Source organism: Homo sapiens, chromosome 2, assembly GCF_000001405.40.
Source record: "Homo sapiens chromosome 2, GRCh38.p14 Primary Assembly".
Lineage (NCBI taxonomy): Eukaryota > Metazoa > Chordata > Mammalia > Primates > Hominidae > Homo > Homo sapiens.
The window spans coordinates 181,499,002-181,512,941 of NC_000002.12; the positions used below are offsets into that span (position 1 = coordinate 181,499,002).

Consider the following 13,940-nt stretch of genomic DNA (forward strand, 5'->3'; position numbering starts at 1 on the left):
ATCATTTGAAAACACTTGCCTTTTCCTTTCTAAAATTTCATTTCTCCTATCCCTCTTTATCTACTTGCCTAGAAATATACATCTTCAGTAGCTCAACTGAGCCTCAAATCTATTCCGTGGTACGTTTTTTGGGGTGGGTCAGGGGAGGCAGGGAAGTTAGTTTGTTTTTCATACGACTCCAGCGAAGCAGAATCCAACATGACTGCTTTTGGGTTATGTCTTTGTTTCCGTGCCAGCTTTGCCAGTGATGTCAGTGGGAACTCACACAGTTGTAGCATGGTGGGGATCATCTGTGGGCCAGGACGATAGCTCTCATGATGGTTTGGGGTATGTCCTGCCAAAGCACAGCCGATTTCATGTTTCTTTTATTAAAACACTCATTCCCAAACTGATCATCACATTCCTCACATTGGTCAAATTTTATCATATGAAGCTGTGCCAGGTCTTTTTCATTAGGGAACGGTGTACTTCATCAGAAAATCTATTGTCACAAAAAACCAAACTATTCCCAGGAGCCCTTTCTGGGATTTCAAATAGTAGCTTCAGCTTAGGGCTTAATTTTCCCTTAGATACTTATTCCAAGCAAATGCAAGCAAGCATCAAGACTCCAATACGCTATTAAATGCTAAGAGCAATAATCCCCATGCTATTTCCTCATTTCCCTTAACAGTTTTTATTGTTGTACTAGAATAAACCTATTAGATGGTTCAGAGCCAAAAGTATAGAATATTAATGTAACCATCATTTATATGGTAGGAATTAAAGAGGTTCTTTTTTTCATGCTTCATAGATGTCGTTTTACTTACCTTAGTCAATTGTAGAGACAAATATTGAAATCATTTTAAAGGCAATAAAAGGGCCAACATTAGATGTTCACAAAGAAATACATTGTGTTAAATTTGTAAAAGTGATCTGGTTTATTTAGTCCTGTGTTTCTTGGCATCGTTCCTGTAAATAAGGGATCATCAAAATTGTACAGCTTTTTCGGAGTAAATTTGTAGCAGAAATGATTAGCAGAGGTAAGTGTTGTGTTGCATGTATATTTGTAGTGTTACCATGGCTTTGATGGTAGCAGGATTCAGCCATTGCCTTTGTACCATATTGCAAATATTAAATGATAGCACTTACTGCTGGGATTGTACATGGCAGGGACTTTTTAAGAAATGCTCGTTTCCTTCAGTATCTTTTTCTCTTCCTAAGTTACCTTGCTTGTGTTTGGAACACTTTTAAAACTCGTATATAGAAAGGCAAAAAGTTACTCCAACCCTCTCCTTTGTAACAAACCCACACAGAAGATAAGAACCACAGTTGCAGCTACCCTGAACTTGAGTTCTGTCAAGGAGCTGTAGCTGTTACTTAAGAAGGTATAGGAATGTAATGATTGTACTTTCCCACCTCCACCAGGGTAATAGCCCAAGGCATTAGGAAACATTAACACTCTTAAGTTTCTACAGTCTGAAAGCATAAGACAGCAACCTGAATTCTTCCATCTTCCTAGAAAAGAAGACGCATAGCGGTTGGGATGCCTGGGTTGCTCCTGTGTTCCATAAAACGCATCTGGTACCATGGTACCAGGAGTGGGAATGTTAACATATGTATCTATTTTATCTCTGCATTCCTTACAATGAAATGAAGTGGCACTTGTTAATTATGTACTGGGGCCCACAACCCCCACTTGTCAGAGGACTCCCTGCCTGTCTGTTGGTTGGACATGGTTTACTTGTGTAGATGTCCCTACTGGCCATTCACTCCATTAATTTGATAGGTATTTATTGAGTACCCACATTGTGTCAAATTCTGTATATACCAGTGAATAAGACATAAAAACATCACTACCCTCATGGAGCTTATAGTCTACTGGGGTGAGAAAAAAATAATATGATAAAAATATACATTTTATAGTATTTTGGAAGATACAGGTGATAAAGGAAAAAGGAGGGCAGAGTACAGAAATGTGCAGTGCTGCAGAAGGAGTGAAGCGGAGAATTTTAAATAGGATACTCAGAATAGGCTTCATTCAGAAAGTGACATCTGAGCAAAGACGTGAAGAAAGTGAGGAAGTTACCCATGTAGATATCTAGGGCAGTTGTTCTTAGTTTTAGGGTGTAATAGCAACAACACCTGTAGGGCTTCTGAAAACACAAATTGCTGGCCCCCATCTAGAATCCCTGATTTAGTAGGTCTGCAGTAAGGGCTGAGAATGTGCATTTCTGCAAAGTTCCCAGAGGACCCATACTTTGAGAACAGCTGGTTCAGGAGAAGAGTATTCCAGCGAGAAAAGCTGAGTCAAAAGGCCTCAAGAATGTACCTGGTTATTTTAAAGAACAATGGGGAGGCAAGGATGGCTAGAAATGTAAGCAAAGGGAAGAATGGTGGAAGAAGAGATTATATAGAACCTGTGGCTTTTTCTCTGAGAGAAAGGGGGATCTATAACAGCATTTTGGCAGAGAAGTCACATGATCTAACATACGTATACAAAGGAACACTCTAGCTGCTGTGTTGTGAATAGAGTAGGAGATCAAGATTCGACACATGGAGAAGAGGCTACTGTGGCAACACAGGTGAGAGGATGGTTCCAACAAAAGTGGTGGCAGTGGATATGGTAAGAAGTAGTTGAAGTCAATTTGCTGACATCCAATTTACAATTTGCTGAGAGACTGGATGTCTGGCATCTGAGAAAGAGGCTCTGTGATGACTCCAGGGTCTTTAGCCTGAGCCACTTGGAAATGTAGTTTTCATCAATTGAGACAATATTGCAGGAGAACACCTTTTGAGTGGAAAATTCTAGAGTTCAGTCGTGGGCCTGCTTAGCTAGAGAGACCTATTTTAAATGTAAATATCAACTAAGGCTTTGTACATACTCATCTTGAGTTGAGGACAGGCAGAGAACAGGAAAGGTAACTTAATATATCTTTGGCATATGGATGGTATTTAAAGCCGTATTAAGATGGCTGAGATCAGAAGAGGGCCACCGTCTGTACTCTGGGCCGCTACAACATGAAGAGGTTGGCAAAAAGAGGCCCACAGAGGAGATAAGAAGGTCCAATCAGTAAGAAAGGAAGAAAATCAACAGTGTGGCATCCTGGAAGTGAAGTGAAAAAAGGGGAAAGCATGATGATGTTTTCTATACTGCAGCTTGATCAAATAAGATGAGGGCTGAAAACTCAACATTGGATTTATAATGCAGAGGCTGTTGGTGGTGGTGACAACAGCATTTCAGACATTAGTGGGGGAACGGGGGGAAGGAAAGGAATTGGAAGCGTCATAGGTTATTCTTTCAAAAAGTTTTGCCACAAAGGTGACCAAAGAAATGGAGCTGGGGGTCAGTAGCTGAACTGGAGTGAAGAGTTTTTTGGGGTTTTGTCTTTTAAGACAGGAGAAGTATTAGCATGTTTTTATGCTGATAGGCATGCTGCAATAGAGTGAAAAACTTGGGATATATGTGACAGGGGAGAAGAGCTGGAACTAAATTCTTGAAGGCAAAAAGGGAAGGATTAAATGTACAAGTGAAAGGGTTGGTTCTAGATAGGCATGTGCATGATTCATCTGAGTATGTGCTTGCAGATGCTGGGTAGATGTGGTGATGGGGACTGTAGAAGTTCTTGTCTGATTGCTTTAATAATCTCAGTGAACTAAGAAGCAAACTCATCAACTGGAGTAGGGATGGAGGAAGTGGCATTTGGAGTTTGGGAAGATGTGAAATAGTCTTCTAGGAGAATGGGAGAGTAACAAAATACAGGATGGTTGTCAGATGGTGTTTGGGACCACTTGCACTTATTGTCATAAACTGAGTGTAGCCTGTGTGCTTGTGTTTTTTTTCCCAGTCACATTCAGTCTTGCAGGAGTAGATGAAGAGTTACAATTAACCAGGGTTGTAGTTTGGTCAAGAGAGTGAAGCAAGCAAGGAGCATGCAGCGGGAGGGAATGTACAAGGGAATGGTTATATTTTTAGTTGTGAAGTTGAAGCAGGCTAAGGAGGGGAGGGGGCACACCAAGACGGTGAGGGACCAGGAAAGAAATTTGAATTGGAGATCCCAGGACAATCAGCAAATTGTTGGAATCGACTATTAAACGGATCGAGCTGCAAAGATGGCATAGATATTATAAAATACAAAAGCCCTTGGAGACCTAAAAGTGAGGAAAAGATTGAATTTTGCTTTTATTTTTGCTGACAATACTTTGATTACCTTATGCAAACAAAAGCCTTTAAATTTACTTACAAAATCCATTGTGTTCTTTGATGGCGGGGAATTCGGCTGTCAAAAAGACTCCAGATCTTAAGTTTAAAAAATTATTCTCTTTTAATCACAATTCTTTAGTTTTATGCTAGATCTTCTTGGACTAGAGGTGCATTTTTAATAGTCTAATAAGGATCTATATCACTGGCATGTAGATTTTTGTTCTGGCATGTTATTTTTCTGAGGCTATGTTTTCATTTATCCGGTTAGTAGGGGAATCAGTTTTCTTAAGTCTAATCATAATCAAAAGAGTATCACACAGGATTACTTTGCTTAACTGGTCAAAATTTGTTCCTCATAAAATAAGAAAGAAGGAAGAAATTGTCTTTTTTTTTTTTTTTTTTTTTTTGCTTTAAAAAATCCTTTGTATTTTAGTTGATTATAATTATGCCAAGCTTTAATTTTGGCCACCAGAGCCATACAATTATTAGATTTTGCTAATGAGTTAGAATGATATTTCTGTAATATAAAGGAAATGGTTAATTTCATTTATATCTTTTAGTGTTTTATCTATTGAAATCGTCTTCTATTAGACATTGCTTTTTCCTCTATGAAAAGATGTTTCCCCATTTATGTAAGTATATGAAAATCTTTGTTTTTGCTTTATTTAAATATACAACTTCATCAAATTGTGGAGATTTCTTAGGACAAGGGATAATTTTGAAGCAGTTTTGATTTAGGGAAACCCAAACTGTAACTTGAAGCAGTTTTTAGACATGTTAGAGCAGCCATGGTAGTGAAACTTCCCTTGAAATTTTGACAGATGATATCTCTTGGTTGAACTTGATGGATCCCTGCATCAAAATATCCACTGATATTTGAGAGGAGAAGAAGGGTGCTACATTGGGATAACAAAAGAAGCAATGAGATTTCCTGTTTGTCTGCATTTCCAACAAAGCTAGAAATACTGGCTTAGTTGCTGAACAAAGAATGCCTGTCCCCAGAGATATTCTGAGAGCCAGTGAATTCAGTGGCCTTCGCATGTTTTATTAAAATCATGACATCAATCTACCTGGGTAGATTAGTTAATTCTTTTCTTTGATTTCTCAAATTTCTGAATTTTAGATTTATGAAATGTGGGTTTATTTTGTTATGTAAATCTTTAGGTGACTTCTAAAACTCATCTTTTTTCCATAGTAGTTTCAGGAAAACGTGTATTTGATTAGTAAATACATTTTTTTGTAATTTTTTATTTCATTTGCTTATATTGTTGAGCAATACATGCACATAGTTTAATGAAATGTCATTTACTCCAAAGAAGAAATTTTTTAACAATAGCACACTATGGACTGATTCATATATGCAGACATTTCTGTGGAAAATCTAAGTGTGAGCAAACTATATCACTGTACTAATATTATGGTATTCTAAAAGTGAATTGATTATTATAACATGTGAATTCTTCATTAGATTGCAAGATCTTTGAGGCAGGATATTATCTTTTGCATATTTATATTCTTAGAGCTAGCACAATCCATTACATAAGGCAGAAACAATAAATATTTAACAAATTTATGGATGCTATGTTCTTGGTGCTATTTAAAAAATTCTATAAGAAAAATCTGAGAATGTTCTATTGGTATAATGGTTAGGGCATTTGTCTTAGGGGTGCTGTCTTTTCTCAGGAAATTGTAATGCTAGATGTCTGACTGTTCTGTACCACTTGAGCCAAGCTTACTAGATAAAGGGACTGCAATTATATAAGATGGTGATGGTTCAGGTACCAACCTGTGTCTTGGTCTCAGCTTTTCCTTCCCGAGCCCTGCATTAGCACCAGAGAGGTGTTTCCAAAATCTAGTCATATTCCTTGCTTAAAATCTTCCTATGTAAGAGCCTCCCCAGCCCCTTTTATGTGTAGATTAGGTGGCCCTACTTCTTCTGTATTTAGACATGCCTCTGTCAGAATATTCATGCCCCACACTGTCTATGTGGATTTGTGGAACATAGATTGTGACAGGTACTGACTTTCAGTTTTGTAACCCTAGAGCTGCCTTGGACACAGTAGGCCCATGAATAGATATCTTCAAATATTTATTCCTGACATTATTTTTTATTTAGTGATATCTTATAAATTTTTTTGCCCCACCAAGTTAACAGGAGGACATGGGCCTGTTGCTCAGCTCTCAAGTTGGCCAGAAATACAGATTTCCATGAAAGTCAAGCAAGAAGACAGACATTATGTAATTTCAGGCATGTGCTAATTTGCACGCTTGTGGGCACCCTATTTTATGTAATTGTCCATAAAAATGTGGCATGGAATCTTCATTATTTTTAATATAGATAGCACATGCCCATCCAAATTTTAAAATGTAAACAAATCTACTTTTTTACTCCCAAATATTTAATTAATCACTTCAAGACATTTTTGATATTACAGCTTTTGTCCTTAGGTGGAGCTGTTAAAGTTAAATAAGTGTGAATATCTGTCAAATACAGTTTTTGCAAGAGTGCATGTACATTTTATATATTGTAAGAAAAGCGTAATTAATAGCTAATTAGGATAATGAAAGTAATATACAACAGATGTAGAGAAGACCTTGTGGAAAATTAGTATGAATTAGATAGCATGTGATTTGGTCAAAGTAAGCTTGTTGAGAAGAATTAAAACAGTGGACATGTGGAGGGACAATCAGTGGCTGTCTAGCTCCTCCTACACCTAGGGAATGATTTAATCAAGTTTGCTATTACTTGAATACTCAGGGCTTCAAGCTGTTCCGTTTTCACAAGTCGATAACTTGGGATTTGGCCTTGATTTGCAGCATTCCTATACGGTCAAAGTTTCATGTTGAGATGATCACTTACCAAGTAATTTAATATAAGAATCTCTGTATAAGAATGGAAAAGTAATCAGGGATCTTGAGTACTCTCAGGCTCCAAATCTTCTAAATACCGTTTAATAAATAGAGCTCTATTCCTTGTTCTATAACTAATTTTCTATTTAATGTTGATGGTTGGCAGTAGTAGTTCAGTTTTCTTATTCCTTCCAAATGTTCACCAGAATCTCCTATTCTAGGAAACTGAAATTTAGTAATTTCTTAGCTGGCTTATATACCTGAAATTTGAAGCAACATACAAATCTTGTCAGGTCTGCTTTATGGACATTATGTCATTTAATCATCACAACAGTAAGGTATAAGTATAACCACCATAATTGTTATTATTCCTATTTTCAGATAACATAACTAAGCCATAGACAAATTAAGAAACTTGTCCAATGTTATGTAGATAATAAGTGGTGGACCCCAGATTTGAACACCAGTTCTTCACCTTCAGACCACTATTGCTTTTAACCACTATATACATAAATTGATAATGTTGTAAATGAAAAGAGAAAAAAGATTACATCCTTTCTGTTTATAATTACATAAAGACATAGAATAGATATAGTCTTTTATGTGGTGTGTGTCATCTTTATTAAATTACTTCGTTGATTTTTATCAAAAGTTACTATATAAATAATATAGCAACACAGCAATAATATGTGTGATAGGGATTTATTCCCTATTTCTTAAGGATTATTAATTGATGAGCTTTGAAAATAATCTATTCCTTATCTGCTTTGGGGCAGTAATGTTTAAGCCATATTGCAATCCTGAAATGTCTATAGATAAATAGAAACCTGGTCCACTGACATTACTTAGTAGGAGGTCTGTCAATTGCAGTGTCATGGGTCTACCTTGAGGAACTCATCTAGCATAATATAAACCTTAATTATGGTTGAAGCTAATATGTCTAGCCTGGGTGAAAATACTAGACTCTTTAATGGTCAAGAGGGAATTTGTTGAATCTATTTTTTAAGATGAGAAGAACTTATAGATTGAAACAGCCATATGAAAAGTAGAGTCAAAAACTGAGCCTTAAATTATTAGTATGAAAGACATCACAGTCTGTGACCAATTCATCAAATTATCTCCTGCGTATAGCAACAATTCTAATACCAAGAAAAACAAAAACTGCATAGATTTTCTCCACTTGTTTCCGTGTAGGTGGGCTATATGTGGTGATGTGAACTGCTCTCTCATATCCTGAGATCATTTCTACTTTTAATTTTTGCAGTGTCTAAATCTTATTTTATAGATTTCTCATCGACATGTCTTACTTTAGGTTTCTCAATTGAATTCTGTTATAAATCCTCTTAGGTTACTTTAGTAGTAAAATCTTATTAGCTTACCCTTTTAGATAAGGAGAAGTCTGTTTTGTTGAGTACCCTTTGAAAATCACATTTCTGTCTGCGTAGTGCTTGAACAGGTGCTTTCTAAGAGACACTGTGTTTTATATGCTACCTGATTTTCATATACATTTGCCCTGCAGTAACCCTGGGGGATTGATTCCAGGACCCCACTTGGATACAAAAATCCAAGGATCCTCAAGTCCCTTATATAAAATTGTGCCATATTTGCACTTAACCTTTGTAAATCCTCTCATATACTTTAAATCACCTCTAAATTACTTATAACATGTAATACAATGTAAATGCTATGTAAATACTTGTTATACTGTATTAGTTAGGGAATAATGACAAGAAAAAAAATCTGTACATGTTCAGCACTGATGCAACCATCCATTATTTGCCAACTATTTTTGATCCAAGGTGGCTGAACCCACAGATGTGGAACCGATGGGTACAGAGGGCTGACTCTCTTTGTTTTCATAGACTTGAGAGTCTAGGACACTTTTACTATCTAGTGAAGTGCTTACTTAATCGAATGACAAATGCTTTCAAAGATTTTTTTTTGTTTATTTCACTGTGTGTAAGCAAATAATTTTGAAAATAATGTGGAATTTTTTTAATGAGGATAGCAAGTAATCAAATGAAAAGAAAATCATTTGTAAGTTGATAGAAAATATTTTTAAAAGAAAATAATGTCTGCATATAGAAATAAAGGTTAAAATGTAAGAATTGTCAATCAGTTGTAATAAACTCGAGCTGTTTCTTTGGAGACAGAAGACAATGAATTTTAAAAATCTGATTATTGAAAAAAAAAACTTGTGACCACATATCAACAAGAATAGGAGTAAGAAATGCTGTGTAGACATAAGATATTAAGTTTAAATGAATGTTATACAGAGCAGAATGGATTGTGAATGGGTTACAATTTCTGTGTAACTGGTAAATAAATTCAAGAGTTCTTTGTGAAGTATAAAAGCACAATAAACTTAGAAAAAACAAAAACGGCTGGGCGCGGTGGTTCAAGCCTGTAATCCCAGCACTTTGGGAGGCCGAGTGGGGTGGATCACTTGAGGTCAGGAATTTGAGACCAGCCCTACCAACATGGTGAAACCTGGTCTTTACTAAAAATACAAAAATTAGCTGGATGTGGTTGTGCATGCCTGTAATTCCAGCTACTCGGGAGACTGAAGTGGGAGGATCACTTGAACCCAGGAGAGAGAGATTGTAGTGAGCTGAAATCACGCCACTGCCCTCAAGCCTGGGTGACAGAGCAAGACTGACTCAAAAACGAAAAATAAATAAATAAATAAATAAAAACTTTAACAACTAATAAGAAAATCAGTGAAGCGACCAGTGTATACAATTAGATGTACAAAACAAATACTTTTCCTATATACCATTCAGTATCTGTTAGAAAAGATAATAGAAAAGTTCCATAAAGAAAGAAAAGGGCTGGGTATGGTGGCTCACACCTGTAATCCCAGCTCTTTGGGAGGCCAAAACTGGAGGAGCCCTTGAGCCCAGGAGTTCAAGACTAGTCTGGGAAACATTGAAAGACCCTGTCTCTATAAATATGAAAAAATGGGCTGGGCATGGTGGTACACATCTGTAGTCCTAGCTACTCTGAAGGCTGAAGCAGAAGGATCGCTTGAGCCCAGGAGTTCAGAACTGTGGTGAGCTACACTTCACTCCAGTCTGCTGACAGAGGGACACATCCCATCTCTTAAAAAAAAAAAAAAAAAAAAAAAAAAAAAAAAAAAAAAAAAAAAAAACTAAAAAGGATGTTTTATAATAAATCTGGAGTCAAATGAATCAAATTCAATCAAAATGTTGTTGAGAGATATAAAGAGAAAATGTATAGGGTAAAGTTAAATGGGATAAAAAGCACCTTGAAATGATTTACAAAAAGTTTATCATGAAAAATGCTTATGTTATAATATCAAGTTATCTTTTAAATGCGTAGAAAATAGCATGGAAGAAAATACTCCCAAGTACAGAACTTTATAACTATTATTGGATAGTATTATTTTTCATTTTTATTTTTTTTGTGTTTTTCATAAGAAACGTAAATGATTTTGTGTGATATGAAAAAATATACATCTTCATTTTTTTAACGGTTTAGATAAAAGATAAGTATTTGCTTTGTCTTCCATGTATAGTGTTTGGCCCTTTTCAGGAAAGGAGTTTTATTTTTTTTTAATCTACGTGCTTGTTTTTGTTAATTCATATGGTGGTTATTTTCCTTAGAAAGATGTGCGGGACATCCTCACCCCAATTCAGATTGAAGCTGCTTACCACCTTGGTCCTCATGTCATCAGTAAACGAAGTACAGAGGAATTCCCACCACTTCAGCCAATTCTTCAGCAGAAGAAAGAAAAAGACATAATGAAAAAAACAGTAGGAATATTTTCCTTTATTCAAATTATTGTATGGCATTTAACTAAATTTTTAAAATATGGCATAATTCTGAAGAAGTGAACTATATGTCGGAATTTTTAAAAATACGAATTTTTAAAAACAAAAATAGATTTATTCATTTCTTTAAATTGTTTATATTCCCTTTAGGATATTGAACTGAATATTTTAAAATATGCATTTAATCACAACAGTAGATTCTCATATAAAATGCTGATGTTCTATTTTTAATGCCTTGCCAGTGAAGAAAGATATATTACTAGAGAGAAATCATAATGGGAGAAGATTGTATTTACAAGTTAGTTATTCAGTGTCATCATGTGTCCTCAGTTTATCTTCCTCTTCTCATTTTCTCCCTTGCTTTCATCCTACTCACAGATTCACTCATGTCTTCATAATCAAATTTTCTTGCTTAGTTTTACCCATTTACAGACACATGTATTTATGTTATACAATAATTTCTTTTTAAAAATTTCATTATATGCTTTTCAGCCACATCCCAGGATCAATTGCATTTGAGATGGATCCTACATTCTAACCAGTGAACCGTTTTCTAAATTATCTCAAAATATTTAAGTTTCACTGACAGTGTATTTATTCTCAGGAGTCCTGTTGTTCAGACCTTTAGTGTCTATCAACACAAAGACATAGGGTTTGTCCAAAAACAGGATGTGTCTGGGCATAGTAAAAAGCCTTCATTAAAATGTTCACTAATGACACACAGAATGTAAAAGATGAAAGGGACATTTAAAGGTCTAGTTCACATCCTGTCCAGACAAAATTGCCCCATAGTCACTTTAAGATAATTGAGCTTACAATCACCACTAGTCTAGTCTAGAATACAGGATCAAATGAAGATAACTGAAGAGCAGATTTTTCTCTACACCCTCATATGAAAATATTTACGGAAGTCAGGGGTTGTTTTTACTCTTCTTTTGAACTTCAGTTGTCAACATCAACTATTTGTAAATGTCTTTAATAGTGAAAATCTCAATATTGCAAGTACACAAGCCAAAACCTTAGCAATTGGTAGTTATATTAATTTATATTTTGATTCTTAGAACAACCTGCTTTACCAATAGAAATGGCAGAAAAAAAAATCATATTTATTTAGAGAGATATTTACACCTCTCCCCCAGCTGTAGGCACGCTATTTGACAGTACTCTAGTCACTTCACACTTAATGAGCCTGGCTCCTTCTGACTTTCTAGATCTCTCTTTGTTTTCTGCATCTGTCTCTCTCTACCTGTTCCCGTTACCTTCCCTTTTATCTCTCCCCATTTTTTCCTTTTGCCCAGCTTATGCCTTGGGTCTTCCTAGGTCCTTTGTAGTATTTATTGATCTTATTAAAAAGCTTCGAGTTAATTAAATTCTGAAACCCTTACTTATTTAATTTTGTTCAATATTTCCTCTAAGTAAAATTTCTAAGTATCTCCATGTAGCTAATTTCAATGAATATAAAATCACTGTCCCAACATCTGTCACAATTAAGTGCCATACTTACACGTAATAAATGGGATCAAACTGCAGCAACAGAAAATTGAGAGGAACCCAATGAAAAACATCTTGGCAGCTAATAAACTCCTTTAATGCCTTTCATTTAACTTTTTTTCCAAATCTTATTTCACTTAGAAAATTTGGGCTTTAAATTTTACCTATTTAGAACTTAGCTCTTTTAGCCCTGCAAGTAATTGTCATTTGAACCCTACTAATTCTCAAATTGAACTTTTTAAAAGAGATAAAATAAAGAGTTGTCAATTTGATGTATCAATTTTATTTTTCTCATGCATCACAGGTGTCGTCATCTTTAAAATATATATAAATATACTTGCTGATTAAATCAAAATAAAAAACGTTGTCTTTTTATTTCCAGATAAACTTTGCAAGGTTTTGTGCCCATGAAAATTGTTCTGCTGATTTACAGGTTTCTGCAAAGATTGGGTTTTTGAAGTAAGTATATGTGGTATATAGTCTCTGTTATTCATCGAGAGGGTGTAATGAGTGTGTGCATTTGCATTCCCAAAAGAAAAGGAACAAGAGCTAACCCTTGAAAATTAACAGCGTTTAAAGAATTAGCAACACAATGCTTAGTTTTTTATCGGCCAGAAAACTGGTTATATCACTCAGACTGATATATAATCCAAGTATGACAAATTTAAAAAGGAATAAACTATCTTGCTCTTCTAAATTCATAGAAGGGGAAACAGAGTAAAAAGGAAATAGATATGTGTTTTAGAATAGCATCTAACACATAGCAAAGACTGGATAAATGTTGGTTGCTGTCGTTATTTTATAATGGCAAATAAACCACTGCAATTTTGTATCATATCTGGATCCCCTATATTCAAATCATTTTGCATATCAAAAAGATGATGTGAAAACAAGGACCAGAGAGAGAGAATGAACACTTCAGGTTGAGGATTGATCATAGAAGGCAAGTGAAAGAAGGGAAGAAGATGCATCAGTGACAGGGCAGGGAAACGGGGAACTATTTTTGGGAGATTGGGATATAAATGGAGCAGCTTTAATCTGGGGCATGTTGAATTTGGAGGGACTTTTCTATGTGGCATTCCACTTGAAAATCTAGTTCAGGATTATGTTTGGAAGTTCCTCCATATATTAGTGACTTGTGAGATGGCCCAAGGGATAGAAATGTGAATTTCACAGAGGAAAAAAATTACAGATCAAATCTTGGAGGACAGTTTTATTCAAGGAGATTAAAAAGAATGGGGAGTCCCTGTAGGAGACTGAGAAGGCATCTTCAAGGAATTAAAGAGAACCAAGTCCCTGGTGAAATAGCCAATGGAGAATATAAAAAGGGAGACTTAATATTGTAAAATTTATAAAAAGATCAGATAACGTAATGTCTAAAGGTCATGGAAGTTGGCATTTATTAATAAAATGTGACGGGTGGTGAAAAAATGGGTATCACTGGCAAATGTTAAGATAGAACTCTCAGTGCAGAAGTAGCCAAATGACAGGATTAGTGATTAAAGAAAGGAGAGTATACTGGGAACAAGTAGGTTCAAGTGAGGTATTTTTATGTATTTATCAAATGTTGTTATTTGTTCAATTATTAGAAGATGTAAATGTGAGTGCCAGAGGCAGGGAAAAGA

At 35.4% G+C, this 13,940-nt stretch overlaps 1 protein-coding gene across 1 annotated transcript in view; it reads left to right on the plus strand.

The window, feature by feature from the left end:
* The window catches only part of ITGA4 (integrin subunit alpha 4), an 81,736-nt gene that overhangs the window by 41,797 nt on the left and 25,999 nt on the right, over window positions 1–13,940 (plus strand). The window contains exons 16-17 of the mRNA NM_000885.6: window positions 10,657–10,806; window positions 12,698–12,774. Coding sequence (NP_000876.3) covers window positions 10,657–10,806; window positions 12,698–12,774 — 227 coding nt within the window. The remainder of the gene's footprint in view (window positions 1–10,656; window positions 10,807–12,697; window positions 12,775–13,940) is intronic.